The sequence below is a fragment of the Homo sapiens genome, chromosome 11 (genome assembly GCF_000001405.40).
Source record: "Homo sapiens chromosome 11, GRCh38.p14 Primary Assembly".
Lineage (NCBI taxonomy): Eukaryota > Metazoa > Chordata > Mammalia > Primates > Hominidae > Homo > Homo sapiens.
Genome location: NC_000011.10, coordinates 2397418 through 2418666, shown reverse-complemented (window position 1 = coordinate 2418666; position 21249 = coordinate 2397418). Strand labels below are relative to the sequence as shown.

The 21249-nt window shown below is 62.6% G+C and overlaps 2 protein-coding genes across 14 annotated transcripts in view, besides 7 other annotated features; one reads left to right on the top strand and one right to left on the bottom strand.

Annotated features, from left to right (window-relative positions):
• TRPM5 (transient receptor potential cation channel subfamily M member 5) overlaps positions 1-14676 on the top strand; it is a 40524-nt gene extending 25848 nt beyond the window's left edge. Inside the window, exons 7-26 of one of the 4 annotated variants that reach the window (XM_047426858.1) lie at positions 76-140; positions 309-500; positions 838-940; positions 2643-2761; positions 3196-3546; positions 3620-3760; positions 3829-3952; positions 4461-4606; positions 5079-5191; positions 5441-5533; positions 5655-5913; positions 6414-6532; positions 6900-7032; positions 7141-7315; positions 10755-10908; positions 11367-11548; positions 11874-12006; positions 12576-12648; positions 13074-13140; positions 13621-14676. In XM_047426858.1, coding sequence (XP_047282814.1) covers positions 76-140; positions 309-500; positions 838-940; positions 2643-2761; positions 3196-3546; positions 3620-3760; positions 3829-3952; positions 4461-4606; positions 5079-5191; positions 5441-5533; positions 5655-5913; positions 6414-6532; positions 6900-7032; positions 7141-7315; positions 10755-10908; positions 11367-11548; positions 11874-12006; positions 12576-12648; positions 13074-13140; positions 13621-13730 — 2852 coding nt within the window. In that variant the 3' untranslated portion in view covers positions 13731-14676. Of the gene's footprint in view, positions 1-75; positions 141-308; positions 501-837; positions 941-1487; positions 2762-3195; positions 3547-3619; positions 3761-3828; positions 3953-4460; positions 4607-5078; positions 5192-5440; positions 5534-5654; positions 5914-6413; positions 6533-6899; positions 7033-7140; positions 7316-10754; positions 10909-11366; positions 11549-11873; positions 12007-12551; positions 12649-13073; positions 13141-13620 lie in introns of those variants that run through there. The other 3 variants (XM_017017628.2, NM_014555.4, XM_047426859.1) reach the window with 3 other exon arrangements.
• Positions 4059-4559: an enhancer, noted in NCBI's record as "H3K27ac-H3K4me1 hESC enhancer chr11:2435338-2435838 (GRCh37/hg19 assembly coordinates)". NCBI's record gives its function as "activates a minimal SCP1, AML or CMV promoter by ChIP-STARR-seq in naive and primed H9 embryonic stem cells {active_cell/tissue: H9 hESC(naive and primed)}" and the evidence as "EXISTENCE:reporter gene assay evidence [ECO:0000049][PMID:30033119]".
• A 114-nt stretch (positions 14677-14790) lies between the features above and the next one.
• On the bottom strand, positions 14791-17917 carry TSSC4 (tumor suppressing subtransferable candidate 4). 10 transcript variants are annotated; one of them, XM_047426217.1, is made up of 5 exons: positions 17869-17917; positions 16520-16691; positions 16217-16373; positions 16015-16056; positions 14791-15822 (listed from the first exon to the last, which is right to left on the bottom strand). In XM_047426217.1, the coding sequence occupies exons 4-5, from the start codon at positions 16031-16033 to the stop codon at positions 15044-15046; spliced, it is 798 nt and encodes a 265-aa protein (XP_047282173.1). In that variant the 5' UTR covers positions 16034-16056; positions 16217-16373; positions 16520-16691; positions 17869-17917; the 3' UTR covers positions 14791-15043. The 10 variants fall into 10 exon arrangements, with proteins under 10 accessions (XP_047282173.1, XP_047282172.1, XP_047282174.1 ...); XM_047426216.1 differs by having other exon boundaries at positions 16520-17917; XM_047426218.1 differs by lacking the exon at positions 16520-16691 and having other exon boundaries at positions 17182-17917.
• Positions 17256-17756: an enhancer, noted in NCBI's record as "NANOG-H3K27ac-H3K4me1 hESC enhancer chr11:2422141-2422641 (GRCh37/hg19 assembly coordinates)". NCBI's record gives its function as "activates a minimal SCP1, AML or CMV promoter by ChIP-STARR-seq in primed H9 embryonic stem cells {active_cell/tissue: H9 hESC(primed)}" and the evidence as "EXISTENCE:reporter gene assay evidence [ECO:0000049][PMID:30033119]".
• Positions 17728-17867: an enhancer, noted in NCBI's record as "active region_4303". NCBI's record gives its function as "activates an Ori minimal core promoter by ATAC-STARR-seq in GM12878 lymphoblastoid cells {active_cell/tissue: GM12878}" and the evidence as "EXISTENCE:reporter gene assay evidence [ECO:0000049][PMID:35858748]".
• Positions 17728-18277: a biological region, named in NCBI's record as "NANOG-H3K27ac-H3K4me1 hESC enhancer GRCh37_chr11:2421638-2422140".
• Positions 17757-18259: an enhancer, noted in NCBI's record as "NANOG-H3K27ac-H3K4me1 hESC enhancer chr11:2421638-2422140 (GRCh37/hg19 assembly coordinates)". NCBI's record gives its function as "activates a minimal SCP1, AML or CMV promoter by ChIP-STARR-seq in primed H9 embryonic stem cells {active_cell/tissue: H9 hESC(primed)}" and the evidence as "EXISTENCE:reporter gene assay evidence [ECO:0000049][PMID:30033119]".
• Positions 17928-18277: an enhancer, noted in NCBI's record as "active region_4302". NCBI's record gives its function as "activates an Ori minimal core promoter by ATAC-STARR-seq in GM12878 lymphoblastoid cells {active_cell/tissue: GM12878}" and the evidence as "EXISTENCE:reporter gene assay evidence [ECO:0000049][PMID:35858748]".
• Positions 19583-19642: an enhancer, noted in NCBI's record as "active region_4301". NCBI's record gives its function as "activates an Ori minimal core promoter by ATAC-STARR-seq in GM12878 lymphoblastoid cells {active_cell/tissue: GM12878}" and the evidence as "EXISTENCE:reporter gene assay evidence [ECO:0000049][PMID:35858748]".

Here is a 21249-nt window from a genome sequence, read left to right as displayed (position 1 = left end):
TGGCCTGAGAGCCTGAGATCCGGGTGGTCACCCCAGGCGGAGGGTCCTCAGGCCTCACGGGTGCCCTGTCCACAGGCACTGGCAGCATCGAGATCCCTGTCCTCTGCTTGCTGGTCAATGGTGATCCCAACACCTTGGAGGTAGGGGCCTGGCTGAGGCCCCCTGGCTGGCCGAAGCCTTGTGGAGGGGTGCGGTGGGTTCTGGGCACCCCTGGGACAGGGCTGAAGGGATGGGGGCACCCCTGACACCTGCATCCAGATGTCGTCGGGCTAATCTGGGGTCCGCTCTCCCCTCCCTCCCCGTCTCAGAGGATCTCCAGGGCCGTGGAGCAGGCTGCCCCGTGGCTGATCCTGGTAGGCTCGGGGGGCATCGCCGATGTGCTTGCTGCCCTAGTGAACCAGCCCCACCTCCTGGTGCCCAAGGTGGCCGAGAAGCAGTTTAAGGAGAAGTTCCCCAGCAAGCATTTCTCTTGGGAGGACATCGTGCGCTGGACCAAGCTGGTATGTGCTGCCCCCTCCCCTGTCCTCCCGACCCCTCCTCCGGGGGTGGGGCTGGTCCTCTGGGAGAGTTCCTGCAATGCAGCCTCCAGCCCACTCCTCCCACCTCAGGCTGCTGGGCCCCCCACCCACTCTCGCTTCAGGCCCACAGGGAGCAGAGAGACCCAGGCAGCCCCTTGGTCTGCGGGTGGTCCCAGGCCGGGCCCGGTGGGCGGTGGGCATGCAGGCTGCAAGGCTCACCTGGGGACGCTGCCTGTGCCTACGCTGGTGTCTACCACGGCCTGCCTCTGCCCCCGTCCTGGCTGAGGCGGCCCCATGGGGGCTCTGTTCTGGTGCCCAGCTGCAGAACATCACCTCACACCAGCACCTGCTCACCGTGTATGACTTCGAGCAGGAGGGCTCCGAGGAGCTGGACACGGTCATCCTGAAGGCGCTGGTGAAAGGTGAGGGCGGGCAGGGTGGGCAAGGCAGGCGCCATTGGGGGGCTTCATGCTCAGAGCCGCTTTGGGGTTTGGCAGCCTGGCCAATGTTTGTGACGCTCGGCCGCCTGCCCCTTCCCAGGAAAGATGACACATGATTCATGAAGCTGTCTGTATTTGGCAAGTTTTATGACGTGTTTTTTACCACAACTTAAAACTATACTTAAAGCTCTCAATTCAGTGGTATTTTTTTGGTGGGGGGGTTGTTTTTTGTTTGTTTTGGTTTTCGGTTTTTTGAGACGGAGTCTCGCACTGTCGCCCAGGCTGGAGTGCAGTGCTGCGATCTCGGCTCACTGCAAGCTCCACCTCCCGAGTTGAAGTGATTCTCCTGCCTCAGCCTTCCAAGTAGCTGGGATTACAGGTGCACCCCACCATGCCCGGCTAATTTTGTTTTTGTATTTTTAGTAGAGACGGGGTTTCACCGTGTTAGCCAGGATGGTCTCGATCTCCTGACCTCGTGATCCGCCTGCCTCGGCCTCCCAAAGTGCTGAGGTTACAGGCGTGAGCCACCGCACTAGCCAATTCAGTGGTTTTTAGTATATTCGTGAGGTGGGGCGACCATCACTTTTATCTAATTCCAGAAGCCTTCATCGCCCCAGAAAGAGCCCATACCCCTTGGCACTCACTCCCCATTTCCCCCAGCCCCTGGGAACCATCGATCTGCTTCCTGTCTCTATAGATTTGCTGACGGGCATTTCGTGTCCATGGTTCCCTGCAGGCAGCGGGAGGGTTTGACGGTTCCTCCGTGTTGAAGCGTATGCCATTCCATGCTTCATTCCTTTTGTAAGGCGGAGTCAGGTTCCAGCCTGTGGACAGACCGTGGTTGATGCGTCTGTTCACCCGCTGATGGAAAATTTTGATGAGCATTTGATGTGCTTTTTGCTGGAGACGAACGCGTGCTGAAGGGCTGGACGCTGGCAGGCAGACACAGCCCCAGCAGGGAGAGGCACTGCTAAGCAGGGGCTGGGGACACCTTGAGGGGACGCTCTGGGAAGGGTGTCTGGACTGCGGGTGGCTCTGGGTTTAGAAACCTCACCAGGACAAGGAGGTCAAAGAAACCTCCCCGTTTAGGAACTCCCCCGCCTCTTCTCACCAGTCTCAGTTTGGTCCCAGTGGCCTGAGAGAGGCACCGTAGTCTTACGGGGTCCATGGTTGTGGAGGCTGAGGCTGGTGAGCCTCACGTGCGAGTCTGGTGAGGACAGCGGTTTCCAGCAGGCGCACCCAGCCCAGGTGCTGCAGGCCCCCCTTGAGTGACCCTGGTGACCTCACCAAGTCATGGCCAAATGCCCTTGCCCGTGGAGGAAACGTGGCCCAGCTTGCTCCCCCGACAACATCCAGGAAGGGTGTCCTGGACCTTCAGTGCCAGGAAGTGGCCTCGAGGCCCAGGTGTTAGCTGGGGTACCCCCGTTGCAGCCGAGGAAGTTGCCTCACATGGGAGCAGACGGGCCGTCCCGACGCAGACCAGGGCAGCACGCTTTCTCCTGCGGTTTGTACAAAGTCTCGTGCCTCCTGCTGGTGCTCAGAGGTGGCGCATGTGCCCCCTCAAGTCCCAGCGTGAAGTTCCCGTTTCCGCGTCTCTAGGCAGCGCACCTTTGGGGACCCTGTGCCCCGGCTCTGTGAGGCCCTCAGCTCCACCCTCACCAGTGCCTGCCTGCTCTGCCCACAGCCTGCAAGAGCCACAGCCAGGAGCCTCAGGACTATCTGGATGAGCTCAAGCTGGCCGTGGCCTGGGACCGCGTGGACATCGCCAAGAGTGAGATCTTCAATGGGGACGTGGAGTGGAAGGTGCCTCCCAGCCCTGCCTACCCACCTCCCCATCATGGCACTGCCCGAGCTGCCCACGCTGCCTGCTCCTGCACCCTGTGGGCTGCTTGGCTGAGCCCGTTCTGCCCAGCTGTCCCAAGGTCCGGGGCAAGACCAGGCCACGGTTCTGCCCGGGCTTCTGCCTCGCTCACTGGCCCAGGCAGAGCTGGCTGGGTGCCGGCTGTCCCCAAAGCCCAAGGGGGTTGTGACACCCTCAGCATTTGCTCACGACTGGCCCCTCTGTGCCCGCCCCAATGCAGGGGGCAGGCTGGGGTGCAGGAGAGCGAGAGGGTCTGCGTGACCTGGCCCTGGGGATGGATCCCCATGCTCCCTGCTCTCTCCTTCCTTGGACCCCCTCCTCCTGTCTCTCGCTCACTCTCTTGTCCCCCTTCCCTCGGGTGCCCATGGCCGCCAAGTCCTGTGACCTGGAGGAGGTGATGGTGGACGCCCTGGTCAGCAACAAGCCCGAGTTTGTGCGCCTCTTTGTGGACAACGGCGCAGACGTGGCCGACTTCCTGACGTATGGGCGGCTGCAGGAGCTCTACCGCTCCGTGTCACGCAAGAGCCTGCTCTTCGACCTGCTGCAGCGGAAGCAGGAGGAGGCCCGGCTGACGCTGGCCGGCCTGGGCACCCAGCAGGCCCGGGAGCCACCCGCGGGGCCACCGGCCTTCTCCCTGCACGAGGTCTCCCGCGTACTCAAGGACTTCCTGCAGGACGCCTGCCGAGGCTTCTACCAGGACGGCCGGCCAGGGGACCGCAGGAGGGCGGTGAGCGGGGGCTCCGTGGGGATGGAGGGCGAGGCTGGGGCCGCAGCAGGAGGCCGACGCCCGTGTCCTCCAGGAGAAGGGCCCGGCCAAGCGGCCCACGGGCCAGAAGTGGCTGCTGGACCTGAACCAGAAGAGCGAGAACCCCTGGCGGGACCTGTTCCTGTGGGCCGTGCTGCAGAACCGCCACGAGATGGCCACCTACTTCTGGGCCATGGTGAGCCCAGGCCGCGGGCCCAGCGCGGGGGCAGGGGAGGGGCGGCCTCCTGAGACCAGGTCTCGTAGGGCCAGGAAGGTGTGGCAGCCGCACTGGCCGCCTGCAAAATCCTCAAAGAGATGTCGCACCTGGAGACGGAGGCCGAGGCGGCCCGAGCCACGCGCGAGGCGAAATACGAGCGGCTGGCCCTTGGTGAGTGACCGGCGGCTGGGGCCGGGCCCGCGCGCGGGGGAGGATGTGACGGAGGGGTCGGACGAAGGGTCCTGGGCCTCGCCAGGGCTGCCTGTTACCGCCGTGGGGCTCCAGGTGCCCTCAGGGGCCTCCTCCATAGGAGAGGACAGACGGCTCTGCCTGGGGTGGAGGCGGCCCCAGACCCTGAGTGTGGGACCGCTGTGCACGTGGTGAGGACGATACAGCCTCACACCCCGGGCATACACTGGGCCCTGCCGCAGGACGAGGGACATTTAGCGTGGCAGAGGTTCCCTTTGTCCTGCTGGGGGAGGGACAGAGCCGGAGAAGGACGGAGGTTCAGGAAGGGCCCGGAGCAGGCCGGAGGGGGCAGAAGGCCTGGCTGGGCCCTGCGTGTTGAACGCAGGGTGCGGCTGCAGAGCCCAGGTCTGGGCAGGGGATGGAGGAGGGGCGTCGGGGGCCGGGCCGGGCATCGGCGTCTCGTCCTAGCGGCCAGGGCCTCCGGGGGCAGACCTCTTCTCCGAGTGCTACAGCAACAGTGAGGCCCGCGCCTTCGCCCTGCTGGTGCGCCGGAACCGCTGCTGGAGCAAGACCACCTGCCTGCACCTGGCCACCGAGGCTGACGCCAAGGCCTTCTTTGCCCACGACGGCGTTCAGGTGAGTGCCAGCTGTCCTCGAGGAGAGCTGCCAGGGGGTGGGGTGGGCGGGCGAGCTGGGCCCAGCTTGAGTTGACTTCCCAGCCTGCAGCTGCCCTGTCACTCCCGTCCTCAGCACAGAGGGGGCGGGGTGGGGCTTCTGTTCCTGGAAGGCGCCCACCTGGCTTCCTCCACCAGGCACACTCCTCCTGCCTCTGGCCTCAGTGGAAGTGGCACTTCCTCCTCTCAGTCCTCCCCAACCCCCAAGCCCAATCTTTTCCCTAGTGAAGGGTACAGCAGCTCAACCCACACCCCTGGGATGAGTGGCCCAAGGAGCACATGCCCACCAGGACGGGGGCTCCGGGAGGGAGGGCTGGGCTGGGCACCCCTTCAGCTCACGTGGGCCAGGCACCTGGGGGAAGGGCATTCCTGGGGCAGGGCGCAGCCTGGGCAAAGGTGCAGAGTTGGAGCCGACAGTTTTGCCTTCACCTCAGGCCTTCCTGACCAGGATCTGGTGGGGGGACATGGCCGCAGGCACGCCCATCCTGCGGCTGCTAGGAGCCTTCCTCTGCCCCGCCCTCGTCTATACCAACCTCATCACCTTCAGGTGGGTGAGGCCTGTGAGCTGCCCGGCCAGGACAGGCAGCAGTGCGAGTGCCGGAGCTACGGGGAGGGCCTGGGCCTCGCAGGTGCTGGTGGTAGCCTGACTCTGTAGCCCCCAAGTCCAGCCTCCCTGCGGGTCCCACTCCCCACAGCCCCTGCATCCCAGTGGGCACTTTGATGGCCAAGCGCCTGGAGCCAGGCAGGCGCCTCTGGGAGCCCTTCCTGCGGGCCCTGAGCTCTCCTGTGCTCGCAGTGAGGAAGCTCCCCTGAGGACAGGCCTGGAGGACCTGCAGGACCTGGACAGCCTGGACACGGAGAAGAGCCCGCTGTATGGCCTGCAGAGCCGGTGCGAGGCACAGGGCCAGGCAGGGTGGAGGGGACTGGCGGGTGGTGGCTGGGAGGCTGGACTCTGGTGGGGCACCCGGCTGGGCGCCAGCCTCACCACTGCGAACTTCTCTGCGGCACAGGGTGGAGGAGCTGGTGGAGGCGCCGAGGGCTCAGGGTGACCGAGGCCCACGTGCTGTCTTCCTGCTCACACGCTGGCGGAAATTCTGGGGCGCTCCCGTGACTGTGTTCCTGGGGAACGTGGTCATGTACTTCGCCTTCCTCTTCCTGTTCACCTACGTCCTGCTGGTGGACTTCAGGCCGCCCCCCCAGGGCCCCTCAGGGCCCGAGGTCACCCTCTACTTCTGGGTCTTTACGCTGGTGCTGGAGGAAATCCGGCAGGTCGGTGGCCACACTAGCCTAGGTCCCCTCCACTCTGCAGCTTCAGGTTGGGCAACCTAAGCTGGGTCCTGCCCTCGCAGGGTGGGGCTCCCCAACTGTAAAACAAGAACAGCATGGGGGCCTCCCATCTTCCCAGTCACCAGCGGCCATGATCCTGGTCAAAGACCGAGCCCTGAGCCCTGCTCCAGACTGAGCATGACCATGGTCTCCCTCGTCAGAGTCTGAACCCTGACCTGTATCACGGACTGAGTCCAGACACTGCATAAACTGATCCCTAGACCCTGGGCACAAAGAGGCCCTGGCCCCAAGTGGAGACTGACCTCACCTTCTGTCCCCAGACAGCCCTGGAATAGCTTCAGTGGACCCCTAGTCCCACTGGTAGCCTCGGCCCTGGTCATAGATGGAACCCTGATCCTTACAGATCCAAGCTTGTCCAGGTAGGGCTGTCCCCAGCGAGGGCGGCTGGACAGCTGTCAGTGGACTGCCCACCTCCCTCCCAGGGCTTCTTCACAGACGAGGACACACACCTGGTGAAGAAGTTCACACTGTATGTGGGGGACAACTGGAACAAGTGTGACATGGTGGCCATCTTCCTGTTCATCGTGGGTGTCACCTGCAGGTCTGTGGGGCCCAGAGGCCGTGTGGCCTCAGGGCGGCTTGTGGGCAGGCTTCCAGATGAAGCCACTCAGGTTGGGTGTGGCGGTGGCACTTGTGGTCCCAGCTACTCAGGAGGCTGAGGTGGGTGGGTCACTTGAGCCAGGGAAGTTGAGGCAGCAGCAAGCCGTGATCATGCCACTGCACTCCAGCCTGAGTGACAGAGCAAGACCCTGTCTCTTAAAAATAAATAAACAAAAGATGAAGCCACTCAGGGCCCAAGGAGTCCTGGCCTGGCCCTGGCCCTGCCCGCAGCCAGCATGCTGTGTGCCCCTGGGGAAGCCTCTGCCCCTCTCTGGGCCCCGCAGCCGCATCAGCCTCCCATCCTCCAGGATGCTGCCGTCGGCGTTTGAGGCTGGCCGCACAGTCCTCGCCATGGACTTCATGGTGTTCACGCTGCGGCTGATCCATATCTTTGCCATACACAAGCAGCTGGGCCCCAAGATCATCGTGGTAGAGCGCATGGTGAGCCCCCGGGGGCCCTGGCCCTGGCCCTGGAGGGACAGCAATCCCCTGCCTGGGCCCCACCCGGCTGGCCGCTGACGTCCCTCTCTCTGCCCCTGCCCCGTGGAGATGAAGGACGTCTTCTTCTTCCTCTTCTTTCTGAGCGTGTGGCTCGTGGCCTACGGTGTCACCACCCAGGCGCTGCTGCACCCCCATGACGGCCGCCTGGAGTGGATCTTCCGCCGGGTGCTCTACCGGCCCTACCTGCAGATCTTCGGCCAGATCCCACTGGACGAGATTGATGGTTTGCACACAGCCAGCGGGGGCAGGGGCAGGGAGAAATTGGAGCCCTGTGTGCACAAGCCCTGGGCATGAGGCTCTCCAGAGAGGTCTGTTGGGGCCATGGAGACCCCAGCCTGGAGCAGAGATGGGAGAAGTGGCTGAGGCCTGGTCCCCAGGCCCCCCACACCCCAAAGGGCCAGGCCTGGTTCCTGAGGTAGAGGCAGCTCCAGTCACGGAGCCCCGACCTGGGACCTGGGGCCTTGGGCTGGGAAGGAGACACAAGGAGACCCCAAGGCAGCCAGGGCTGCCTCCTGCTTGGGGAGGCCAAGCAGCAAGTCTTGCTCTGGGGGTGGTCTATCGGTGGGGAAGGGATAGGCAGGCACTAAGGGCACAGAGTGGGCCCAAAGGCTGTCCCAGCCATCATCCGGGGTCTGGGCCCTCCAGCTCTCCTCACAGCCCCTGGCCTCTGCCCTCCCACAGGGCCCTGCTTGGCCTAGGGCACCCACCAGAGCCCCTACGCCGTCCTGCTGGCAAGGCCCCTTCGCCATTTGGCCGCTCCTAAAGGCACCCTGGCTGCTCCTGGGGACCCACCCCAATGTGTGTGTGTGGCCTGCCCATGCCTATGGGTGTCCCCAGGCCGACCCCTGTAGCTGGCTGGGGCTGGTGGAGGCTCTGGAAACTTTTTCATAAGCCAGTGCAGTGGGGAGGGGGCGGGGGTCAGAGCCGCTTGGCCATGGGGGCCTCTGTAGTGATGGGTTGGTGGGGAGCTCTGGGGTGGGGCAGGGACCTGTGCAGGCCCCTGGGATGGCTGGGACTCAGTGAGGAGCCCCAACCTGGAAAGGGACGCACCCCTCTGGGAAGGTGGACCAGCAGCCAGCCCGCCCCTGGGGCCCTCGAGGGGTGCCGCAGACTTGGAGACCCGGCAGAGAAGGTGCAGGGAAACTGCTCAGGCGGTGTCAGGCGGCTGGGGCTGCCCGGCACGGGGCAGTCATGGCACAACGTGCTGCCCAGGCCTGACCCCGACCTCTGTGGAGTGGCGCTCAGGACCCTCGATAAATATTTGTTGAGGGGATGACGGCCAGACCGGAGCAAACACAGGCCTCCGGGGACAGGCGGGGGCGACGCCGTGATGGAAACCGCCTCTCCCAGCGCGGCTCATTTCCTTGGGCTGTTTTCTCAGCCCCCGCAGCCCCTCCTGACATTTTGGTGTTTGCTCATCACAGGCATTCATTTTCCAGGCCATTAGTTTAACCAGACCCTGCCTGCCTGCGACCCCACCTCGCCCTCACCATACGGCCTCCAGCACTGCCCGTCCGCAGGGCCCCTCGGGGCAGGAGGAGCTCTAGACGGGCGCCTCCAGCCAGGGCAGGGTTGGGGGTCCCCTCTTTCTTGAGTGGCTGCATCTCTGGTGGGCCAGTCTCAGCGACTCGTATGAGGAGACAGGCCTGGCCATAGCCTCCTTCTCGACGGGAGAAGGCAGGGAAACAGACTCCCGAGGGGCCCCTGCTCCGAGTGCTGCCTCAGGGAGGTCTGCGGTGCTGCGGGGATCTCAGAGCCCCGTGCTGAAACGCCTGCAACAGGGCCAGCCCCGGCCGCCCACTGAGAGTCTCAGACTTGTCACTTCCCCTCCCTGAGCTGCAATTCCTTGGGCTCCGTTCAGCTGCCGAGCAAGTATCTGGGCCCTTCAGGTTGAACCCCAGCCACTCACTGTGACCCAGCCCCTCATGCTGCTAGGCAGGGAGTTATTCACTAACACATGCTGGGCTGAGAGGGAGACTGAGGCTCAGACAGTTCCTGTACAGCCTGCAGGTCTCCTCAGAGCCCAGAACAGACCCCTGCCCCACTCTGCACTCGTGCCGAGCCGGAGCTGGGGTTGAGCTGTGGTGACGAGCTTGTTCTCTGGGTCTCCAGGCCCCAGGGACAATTTAATTTCCAGCCCGGCCTGGTGGCGCCTTCCCAAATCACAGAGTCGGGGAGGGTGTGGGGGTCTCATTCCTCAGAGCTGCCTTTATCAGACAGATTTACGGCTTCACAAACAGGCTCTCCAGGCTGGCCCCGGCCCGCTCCTCCAGAGTGCAGGGAGGAGAGGGGGTCATCAGTCTGCCCAGGAACAGATTCATGGGCTGGAGGTGGCCAGGGCGGACAGAGGAGGGGCAGGCCTAGGGTGGGAGCGTGGGGAGGGCTGGCGCTCACTGACTGCCAGTGCACACACAGACACTCAATAACTCACACACGGGCCAACGCGTCACACTAACTCACTCGGGAGAAACAAGGCAGGAATTCACCCTAGGAGGGAGAACGGACCCCTCCAGCTCAGGACCCAGGCACAGAGGCAGGAACCTGGGAACAAGGAGACCCCCCAGAACCCACCGCAGGGCAACCTGGAGCTGGCAGGCACTAAGATACACTTGAATGTGCCCGTGTGTGCCAGTGTGCTCACACGCAGACTCACACATGAGCATGTGTGCCAGGCACATCCAATCACATGTACAGGCTCACACAGACACACGCCAGCGTGCAGGCTGGGGAGGGAGGAGAGAGCGGAGCTCCCATTCGGATATGGAGGGGATATGTGGTCCTGGACGGCCAGGGCACACTCTGGCCTCTGGCTGGGACCCTGAGCACCCTGACGCCCACTGCGGCTCCTTCCTCCCTCCTCCCTCCTCCTGCCCCGCAGGCTGGGGTGGGGTGAGGGTCCAGGGTTGAGCCCTACAAGGGAGAAGCAGGTGTGAGGGTCTGGTTTTAAGGGACTGGAGTGAGATCTGCCACCCCTCCAGGGTGTCCCTGCCCAGGGCCGAGGGAGCTCAGCCTGCAAGCTCCCAGAGTGTGCCGCCTGAAGAATGTTCTTGACTTGAGTGGCCCAGTGCGGGATCGGTGCCCTCAGAGCTTGCAGCAAGCCCAGTCTGGAGCCTGCTGGCTCAATACATTTTGGAAAGGTGGCGGAATTACTTGCCAGCTTGGGGTTTAATCACAGGCATTAGTGCTGTAGAGGCTCTGAGAAGTCCTGGGCCCCATCTCCCTTTCCTCGGCAGCTCTCCCCAAACCTTCAACAGCAGAGGCTTTTTTCGGAGGAGGGGTGGAGGTTTTAACACATCCAACAACCAGGAGAAACCTGGGTCCCGTGACCCCTCTGTCCCCCACCTTCCATCCCTCCAGGGGTCTTGGCTCTACTTCCAGGGCCTGTGATCTTGGCTGACTCCAGCCCCTGGTGGAAGCTCAGCAGACATGGCAGAGGGGGCCCAGGGTGGGGCTCACCACCCGTCTGGTTCTGGTTTGCTGTGATGGGGCTTTCACTGCTAAAACCCAGGCCGCCCTGGGTGAACTGGGACAGTGGGTCACCCAACCAGCACCCCGTCCCCTGGGTTCAACACCAGGACTCAGCGCTCTATCTCGGGGCATTTGCCTAAGGCCGCCCTTGTGGCTGCCCCCGGTCTGGTCCCCACAGCACCCTTGCTTTCCAGAAGCCCGTGTGAACTGCTCCACCCACCCACTGCTGCTGGAGGACTCACCATCCTGCCCCAGCCTCTATGCCAACTGGCTGGTCATCCTCCTGCTGGTCACCTTCCTGTTGGTCACCAATGTGCTGCTCATGAACCTGCTCATCGCCATGTTCAGGTGACTCCACCCAACCCCTGGAGGAGAGAGCCCTGGAGCGGAGGGAGCAGAGGGTCATTCCCCAACACCGCCTCCTTTGCAACCCACCTGGTGTGCTGCAGAGGGTGAGGCTTGGTGCCTCAGGGCAGATAGAAGGTGGCATAGCCTGGACTGCAGGGCTTTGCCTGCCCAAGACCGGGAACTCTGTGGGCCACCCTCCCAGTCCCAGGAAGCAGGGCCTGGGTCTTTGGGGGACCGGTGCTGTGGCAAGAACTCTGGGCTTGTCCAGGAGAGCAGAGTGGACAGGGGAAGACCCAAGGAGAGTGGACCCCTCGTGACACACCCCAGAGGCAACGCAGAAGCAGTGCTGGGCCTCAGTTTCAAAAAGGGCTCCCCAACAGCAATCAGGGTGCAGGGGGATGCGTCCCCCAAGTGGTCGTGGGGAGCCGGTAGGTGACGGCTCAGCTGTGCCCCTGCAGCTACACGTTCCAGGTGGTGCAGGGCAACGCAGACATGTTCTGGAAGTTCCAGCGCTACAACCTGATTGTGGAGTACCACGAGCGCCCCGCCCTGGCCCCGCCCTTCATCCTGCTCAGCCACCTGAGCCTGACGCTCCGCCGGGTCTTCAAGAAGGAGGCTGAGCACAAGCGGGAGCACCTGGGTGAGGCCGAGCACAAGCGGGAGCACCTGGGTGAGGCCGAGGTGGCGGGTCCCAGGGCGGGGCTGTGCGCTGGAGGCAGGTCTGGAGAGACCTGGACCCCTCCTCAGCCCTGTGGGTCCTCAGCTGGGCTCTGTGCAGGCTGGCACAGCTGAGCCCGTCCACCCGCAGCTTGGCCGTCCTTGCACAGGGCCATGCTTGCCCTCCATCCCTGGCTGGGCCCCACTCACTCCTTCTGCCTGGCCCACCTCGCCCCGGGACCAGGCCTGGGCTCTGCCACTGACGCCCACATGCTCTAGTAATGCTGGCTGCCACCTGGCTTTCCCAGAGAGAGACCTGCCAGACCCCCTGGACCAGAAGGTCGTCACCTGGGAGACAGTCCAGAAGGAGAACTTCCTGAGCAAGATGGAGAAGCGGAGGAGGGACAGCGAGGGGGAGGTGCTGCGGAAAACCGCCCACAGGTGCGGGGGCCTGTCCTGATCACTGGTGGGTATCGGGCTGTCTTTAAGCGGGGATGTGCCATTGGCGCCAGTGACAGAGGATCTGAGCTGGCGAACTGAAGCTGAAGGGGTAGGGGCAGGGCTCTGGCCGAGCCCAGGGGCCTAGCTTTCCAGCCTGACCTGTGCAGGACCCTGCTGGGACGCCTGGCCAGGCAAAAAGGGAGCGTGCACAGTGACCGTGGCGCCCTCCCTGCTGTGGTCTCAGGGTTGGGACTACCCACCCCTGGCTTCCCTCCAGCCCTGGCTCCAGGGGCCTGTCCCCGACTGCCTGCCCTGCACCGTCTTTCTGGGTGGTGCGCCCAGGCAGGGATGGCACCCTAGCCCTACTGGGAAGGCATAGAGCGCTCTGTACTGCACCAGGTGCACTTTGAGGGGTCCTGGTGCCACCAGATCTGGGCATGAGGGAGGAAGGGAAAGGGCCAGGGCACCCCAAACTCGGGCACACAGGGAGGCCTGGGGGGATGGGGAGGCTCCCCACACGCAGAGCACCGCGTGGCCATCCACAGCCTGACCACCTGCTCCTGCCGCAGAGTGGACTTCATTGCCAAGTACCTCGGGGGTCTGAGAGAGCAAGAAAAGCGCATCAAGTGTCTGGAGTCACAGGCAAGCGAGCCCCAGAGCTCCTCTCCCTGATGGGAGGCGGGTGGCTGCGTGGGGCTACTGGGATGGGTCCACAGCCCTGCCCGGTCACTCACAGAGATGAGGCAGGCCAGAGCCAGGACAGGAGCACCCCAGTGGGCAGAGGAGCGTTCTGGGGAAGACAGGCCGTCCCCACCTGTGCCTCCTCCCACCCTGCCACTTGGGAGGCTACAGCCTTAAATGAGGGGTCTCACATTGAAGACCCCTCGCCTTTCACTCTACACGCCTCACGGGAGCCTCACTCACCCCTGCCTGTGAGCGGCAGCTCTCAGAGGGAGGAGTCACAGGGCAGCGGGGGCCCTGGCAGGAGAGGGGAGATGGGGAGGCTGCCTGTCCCCTGCTGTCCTGAGAGAGCCCTGGAGCTTCCCGGACGTGTTTCCCTTCTCCAGATCAACTACTGCTCGGTGCTCGTGTCCTCCGTGGCTGACGTGCTGGCCCAGGGTGGCGGCCCCCGGAGTAAGCCTGTTTGGGGAGCGTGGGATGAGGGTGGGCATGGGCACCCACTCTGCAGCGGCTGGGGGGCCGTAGGCTGTGCTGTGTGCTCTGCCTTCCCTGCCTGGCCCGGGAGTCTCAGGAGGCCTTGGCTGGACGCGGCTCTTCAGGGTGGTGTGGGTGCCCTCTGACGGAGTCCCTGCCTTGGCCAGGGCCGAATGTGCTTCACTCAGACTCTTGAGGCTCTGCCTGGCGTGGGCCCTATTGGACTGTCCTGCTCAGCAAGCAAACGGGCCCCTCGGCCTCAAGGGGGCTGCTTTCCTAGTCCCAGGAGTGCAGGCAGAGGCCTGGTTGTCTCTGGGCTCCCCATCTTCCCCAGGCTGGCCTGTGGGGACTCACTCTGAGAGCCACGGCGTCCTGGCCCTTGCCTCTGAGCCAGCTACCTCTCCCCTTCCTGGGCCTGCCTTGCTGGTTCCCACCGCTCAGGGGGGCCTTCCTTCCCAGCAGGCTCTCAGCACTGTGGCGAGGGAAGCCAGCTGGTGGCTGCTGACCACAGAGGTGGTTTAGATGGCTGGGAACAACCCGGGGCTGGCCAGCCTCCCTCGGACACCTGAGCTGCTTGGCCTGCCACGTGTGGGGCCACCTCTCCTCAGCTGGCCACCCTGCACGTTGTGCACTGACCTTTGCCGACCTCCAGCGGAACCCCCCAGGGGGCACCAGCCCCCCAGCAGACAATGGCCCTCCTGGTGCCTCACCACAGACCCTCACCCAAAGGAACCGCTCCTTGTCCCTCCTGGCCTCCCCGGAGGCACAGCAGTGTCATGGGGCTGTCTCCCCTGACAGGCACAACTCCCCGGGCAGAAAACGTGCCCCACCGCATCCCTACCTGGAAACTGACCAGCCTGCACTGTGGAAAAGCTGGCCCTGTGGCGTGACGGGGGAGCACCCCCATCCAGACTGCGAAGCTGCTCTGGGGTCTGCACCCACCCCTGCCCTGACTTGTGTTGCCTGACAAGAGACTCATCTTTTTTTGAAACACTGGTGGTTAGAATTTCTGTCACTTAAGACCCAAAAGGTCCTTTGGGGCTCAGGTGACTGGCTCCTGGAAGACAGGGCTGGGCATCCACTGCATCTGTCAGCTGTCCCCCTGACACCCGATGGCCAGTACAGCACACACTGGTGTTTATGGCCCCAAGACAAAGCCCCTGCTGGCACCAGTGGCTGCTTTATCTTCAGTGGAGCCTGGAAAACACTGTACCCCACGTGGCCCAGATAAAACTGGACCCCAGGCTCAAACACCTGCCCAGGCCCCCCAACTGCCCACTCACCCCAGCCTCCTCTGTCCACACCCATTTTGTCATCTCCCTTTCGCTTCCCAAGCTGTGGTCTGCACTAGGCCTGGGGCTGATGGCATCATGTGGGCTTTGGTTGGGGGAGGGCAGATTCTGTACCCACTCAGGCCCATTGAGGGCACTCACTGGACACCTGCCACTGAGCCACAAGCCCTAGAGGAGGCCTGGGGTTTCCAATTCTCACTGTCACCTGGGTGATGTGCTGGTGAGGGATGCAGGTGTCAGCCACCCTCGAGTGGTCCGGCACCGAGGGTCAGGTGTGGGGAGCTCTTGCTGCCAACTGAGCCCTTTGGGTAAGCAGGGCCCAGATAGACACAAAGTCTCAGAAAGACCCAAAACCTTTATTGTCCCTACCAGGGAGCCAGTGCTTCCAGCCCACACCCCACACCCCAGGAGCTTCAGCAAGGTCTCTGCTTGGGAGGATGCTGCCCAGAACTGCAGCCAGGGCCACCGGTGCCACCTGCAGGCTTCCTCCCATTCCAGCTAGGCAGTGGCCAGGCTGCCCCCTGACCAGCCCCACTGGGAAGGCAGCAGGATGGCAGTGGCCAGTGGGGTCAGGCTGGGCCATCTCCCTCTCAGACCTCAGCACCTGGGTCCTCGGGGCTGCTGCTCTTGTTCCGGAAGTGGTCTCGACTCCGCTTCCTGCTGCCATGGAAGCCAACAGTTTCCACCGGCGGGAGACCTGGCACAGACCCACTGTGGACAGACCCTGACAGTGCCTCCACCTCCTGCAGGCCTCCATGGTGGCTGCCCCACTCCTCAGCCTCTGGGCTCCCGGGCCCGGCCAGATGGGCCAGCTCCACAGGGCCCTCGCCCCTGTCTGTGGCAGGATTCCCAAGGCCGCCCCTGCCTGGCTCTCCCACCTTCCCCAGGACCCTCTTCCTCTCGTGTCTGGCTTCGACCCCTCGGACTGGTTTGGTGAAGATGACCCTCCCCTCCCCACAGCTGGAGGGATCCTGGTTGAAGGAGGACACGCAGTCAGTGGGGGCAGCCAGGCTCTGGGAGCCCAGGAAGGCCAGGGCGGTGGCCTGATTGCTCTGCTCGCTGACCTCGGTCACATCTTCCAGGCTGTACTTGGTCCAGCGCTCGGGGTGTGCCACGTAGTCGGGGACCGGAGGCACCCTTGGTGAGGCAGGGCTCCGATGGGCCCTGCCCAGGCCTTCCACTGGAGACCGGCCTGAGGGCGCTAGGGGCCGCTTGAAGCCTCCGTTGTCACTCATGCTGGTGTGGGCCACAGAGGATGGAGCCCGTCTGGCCGCCCCCTCCAGGCAGTCAAAGATGTCACGGCTGCGCTGGGAGAAGGTGGAGCTCATGCCTCTCAGATGGAATGGCTGCACCGTGGCTGGGAGGAGGCCTGACGGGGGTGAGGGCGGCTCATCAGGACCTGAATCCTCCTCCCCAGGCAGCCCCATCGGGGACAGTGCTTCCACTTCAGCACCACCGGGCAAGCTGAGGTCAGAGTCCGAGTCACTGAGGGAGACTGTGTCGGAAGGCAGCGTGTCATACTCCGTCCCGTGTTCGCCCTCCACGCTGGGGGACGGCTCACCTGTTCCTGCCTCAGCCATGCGTCCCCAGGGCCACGCCACACCTAAACCAAAACAGCCCAGAAAATTTGTTTCTCAGGAGGAACAGTATTGAGAATGAGTTCCCCCTGCAGATCCACTGCCCCTGGACAAGTGGAGGGTCAACTGACAGAACTGTCCCACACAGGGTGGAGTCCCGCCTCCCCCTCCAAGCCCTCCTCTCACCTCTCTTGGCTGCTGGGTGCCAGTGGTTGACACTGGAGTGTGATTGGACAGCCAAGCGGGCCAAGTGGACGGAGCCCTGATGAAGGTCCTCAGCGGCACAGGCGTGGTCGTCTCAGGCCTCGGAGTGCCCCGGCATGGCCTCTGTTCAGCTGCTCAACTGCAGGTGGGTGGGGTGGGGGAGAGGACCAACCTCAGACCGGAGTGTACATGTGTGAAACAGGTGCCGGGCAGGACCGACCTGAGCCTGGGTTTTCGGAGCCCCTGACAGGCTAGGACCCAGGGTAGGGACTTTTGACTCGTTACCTCATTTAATGGTGCCAACCCTCTGCAGGCAGGCTTGGAGCTACTGAGCGATTTTGGTAGTAAGCAGCCACCCAGGGCTTGAACCCAGGGCTGAAATCAGGCAGGAGGGCCACTTATAAGCTGCTTGCTGTGCGGGGTGAGCAGTCGTATTCCACAAAGAGCGTGCACCTTCCTGATCCACGGGGAAAAGATTTGCTCCTATTTGCTGGAAGATCCCCGGGAGCTCCCAAGGAATCTGCAGCCAAGGCCCTGGCATCTGAGGGTCAAGCTCTCAGGAAAGTGGGGTGTCGACCATCACCTTGAGCAGCCCTGTTAGGCAGAGGTAAATCCCCGCGGCTCCTGGAGCGACCTCCAGTGGCCTTCCACCTGTAACACTCAGCACATACCCTGCCTTTCCAGCTGGGCAGACAAGTGCTGCCTCCTGCACCCATTTAGTGCTGGAGTGACTGGGTGCCTCAGAACTTGAATTTCCAGGCAAAAAAAGACGGCCCAGCCACACCCTTCTGCACTGTCCTCAGCCATCCATCCACCGACTCCTCTCCTGCTACCAAAACTCCTTGCCCGCCCAGAGTGACCTGTGTCTTGTGCACCCAATAAGGATGGGGTCAGGGGTACTATCAGGGGCTCTTAGTGCCCCCCACCAGGTCGAACACAGGCAGGACCTCAGTTCCTCTGAGGCGCGACTCTCCTCAGTGAAGAAGCCACCCCAGTGAAAGGGGATACGCAGCACCCCCCACTGATGACCGTTTTAAAGCTGGCAGGAACGGGGCGGGGGAAATAATTTGCCCAAGTCACACAGTATGTTGCAGACGAAGCTGGAGTTCAACCAGAACCCTGCTTCCCAGATTCGCACTCCCGTCCTCTGCAGCGGAACGCCGCCGCGGCCAGAAGCAGCCTGGTCAGCGGGGCACTCCGACGGGTAGCGGGGATCGGGCTGCAAGATAGGGACTCCGGTAGTCCGTTTCTCGGGGTTCTCGGCGAAAGCCGGCAACGAGTGGAAGGTAGAGTTGACTCCTTCATGTCCGTAGGCTGAAGGAAGCCGTCTCTTTCTCCACATGAACGCAGAGCCCGGCCTTTCTCCACTATATGTGCCAGCAAGACCTCCCCGCCAGAGAACAAACGAACTCTCGGTGCCAAGCTGGCTCTCGGTGCCCCTCGGCACTGTCCAGTCGGGCTGGACAGGCCTCCGGGCCTCACAAGGATGCTGTGGGTCCCAAGGGCCCGGCCGCGAGGTACGGGGGTCGGCGAGCACAGCGGGGCCTTCGAGCTCAGGTATTAAAGCTGCGCTCGGTGACCTCCCGGAGGCTCGGCCGGCCCGCGCGGCCCGTCCTCCCTCACCACAAACCTACCGGCTCAAGGCTGCTCGGCAGTCTCCATCTTGGTCGGCGCCGCACCTCCGTGCGGCGCGCTCAGCCCTCTGGGAAACCGAGTGCTCTGCCGGCCGAGCACCACGGCTTCCGCGCCTGCAGAACTACAGCTCCCACAAGGAACTGGGCCGCCGCTCCCGACGCCTGTCGGGACGTGTAGTCCTGTGCGCATGCGCTCGCCCCTCTACTCCTCCACGCCCCGGCCCTTGGGTCCGGCTCGGAAGCAGCCCCGGAAACGACGGCATTTGTTGGGGAAACAAGACCGGAATTGACCAAGAACAGGAAGAGGAGGGGCCAGGCCTGCAATTCCCAGAATGCTCGAGGGCTAACCGACAGCCAGGCTGGCTTCCCGTGGTCTCAGCGCCACCTGCCGGAAGCCGCGAGAACAGCGGCCGCCTCAGGCAGGAAGTGCGTCATCTCGCACGGAGGACGAATGCCGTTCCCGGCACTTCCGGTCCTGACCGGAAGCGGTAACCGTCACTCCTTCTGGGCTCTGTCAGTGCACCGAGGCGGGGCTCCCCAGGATCCCACGGTCCCGCTCAGGCCAGACGCAGAGGCAGTCCCAGCCCGCGATGAGGACGTGGGGTCGTGACCGCTGGGCCACGGTGAAGGGGGCAGCCCTGCTGGACCCGCTAGCTGGGCCGACGCTTTCCCACCCCTAGGGGTTTGCTGGGCCCTGGCCGCAAACTTGTGGGGCGCCGTCCTCGGGGCCACTGCCCGGCCACCCTCACACCCTTGGGCCCTCAGCTCTGGTGCATTGGTCCGGGCTCCGGGAGGCACTGAGACGTCCCCCTAGGGCGCTGCAGGGAAGCGAGGGCCAGGCCCTTCCAGGTCCCCGGTCCTCCCGGGCAGGATGGAGGCTGCTGAACGCTCCTCAAGCTTCCAAGTCAGCCGTGGCTGGGCGGGCGGCAGCAGGGAAGGTTTGGGCTCCGCCATGCTTGCGAGCCAGCAGCCTGGCCTCGCCTGTCCGCAGCAGGGGGCAGGTCAGCTGCCCGCCCTGAAAGGGAGGACCAGGGCCCAGATTCTCCCTGCGACAAGCCGCGTCTTCCTTGGCCACTGGGCCCTAGATGGTTGGCACCTTGTGCCCCTTCTCAGCTGGGAGAGTTCCTGCCCCACACACTCAAGGATTCTGAGTTCTCCTTGGCTGCTAGACCTCTGGTCCCTCTGAAAGGCTCGAGAGAGAACTCCCCCAGGGCCTGCTGTCCTGGCATCCGCTGGGAAATAGGATTCAAGGACCTGCTGTGGCTCAGCCTAGAAAAAAGGAGGGGAAGCAGGACCCACTCCTCGGCCCCCGGTCTGCTGTGCGCCTTTGGGATTCCTTATTTCTTAAACTGCTCTTCCCTCCCCACAGGGAACACAGCGGAAAGTAGAGAGGGGGCTCCTTGGACCATTATGTTCTCCCAACCAGTGCAGGCTTGCAAGTTGGGAGCAGCAGGGGAGGAGGGCCTGCTGAGAGACTCTGTAACCCCCTAAAATGCAGGGCTGGGGACAGTTTCCAAATTGGCCTGCAAAGAGGCTGCTGGGAGCCCTAGATATGAATTCCCAGGCACTCATTTCCTCCAGGGAACAGTGAAATGTGCCAGCACCCCCCTCCCCACAACTAGGGAAAAGTAGCCTAACCCAGAGCAAGCCCCACCCCACGATGTGGGGAAAGATAGGAGAGTCTAGACCAAGCCCACTGGCTGGAGGTGCTCAGACAAAGGGAAAAGGACGGGGGAGTGCAGGGGCTCCTTAGCCCCACAGCCTGTCTGCCCCCAACCACCGCTCGCTGGTGGGCTGGGGGGGCTCCCTAGTAGGATGAGGTCTTTCTTCCCCTCCAGACCCTCTGAGATGTGGCTCAGGCCTGAGCCATCAGCTCCTCAAAGGAACATTTACAGGTAACAGATGGGCAGGGCAGAGACCCTCAAATGCTCGGGAGGGGGCAGTGTGTCCATCCTTTACCATCCCTCAGGAGGAAGAGGAGTCCTGCAGCGCACCCAGCCCCTACCCCAAGCCCATCTCACTGCATTCCCTGGCTGCCCGACCCCTCCTGCCCACCTGCTTACACTGTGTGCCCCTTGTGTGCCCAAGGGGCAGGGTGGAAGTGGCTGCAGGCAACACAGGGCCTCTCCCAAAAGAGAATAGAGAGAACGCTCCCAAAAAGGGCCCTTGCTACCTGGAGTTGCTCCCTGGTTTAAACCCAAAGTAAAATTCTAAGCAACCCCAACCAACTGAATGGGCACCTCTTGGCCAAATGCATTCTAAAGTAAACCTGAAAAGCTCGTTGAGGCCATGATGACTGTGGGTGGCCGAACATGCCTCATAGGCACAGCTGACCAGCATTCACATTAAAACAGAGACCTTAGTCCGGTGTGGTGGCTCACACCTGTAATCCCAAAACCTGGTGTGTCACGTGAGGTCAGGAGTTCGAGACTAGCCTGGCCACCGTGGCGAAACACCGTCTCTACTAAAAATACAAAATTAGCTGGGTGGGGTGGTGCATGCCTGTTGTCCCAGCTACTCAGGAGGCTGAGGCAGGAGAATCGCTTGAACCTGGGAGGTGGAGGGGAGGCTGCAGTGAGCTGAGATCACGCCATTGCACTCCAACCTGGGTGACAAGAGCAAAACTCTGTCTAAAAATAAAAAGACCTTAAGACTCACAAAACAGACTCTGTAGTAATAAGATACCAACGTGACAGCAGGCCCTGAAAGAAACCGAAGTATTTTACCCCAAAATATATTTCTCTGATGTATTTTGAAATGGCCCTGCAAAGCTGTCTCTTGGGAAAATCTACATTCTATAGAGAATCCCCCTCCCTTTCCAGGTCTATTTCCTGATCCAGGAGAGAATTAACTAAGATTCTGGTACCTTTTTAAGTCTGATAAGAAACATTTACAATCTGGCGGCTTCATCTGCATAATAATCTTGGTCTCCACAACTCCTCTTAACCCAGATAGTCCATTCTATTGATTTCAGGTCTTTAGATAAAATCAACCAATTATTAATCAGAACATCTTTTAATCCGCCTATGACCTGAAAGTCCCTCCCCTTCAAATCGTCCCACCTTTCCGACTAAACCAACGTACATCTTAGATGTAATGATCAATGTCCTATGTCCCTAAAATGTATACAATTAAGTAGCCAGACCGCCTTGGGCACAAGTTCTCAGGACCTGGGGCTGTGTCACAGGCCACCGGTGCTCATATTTGGCTCAGAATAAATAACTCCCCAAATTTTACAGAGTGACTCCTTTGGTGAACACCAGGGATCCCGACCCACCCACCCTCACCCTGGACCCCACAGAGTCCACAGAGCCAAGCCCCACCGATGTCAGATTCCCCTGCCCTCCGGCCAACCCCTAGGTCTCAGACACCACTGGCACT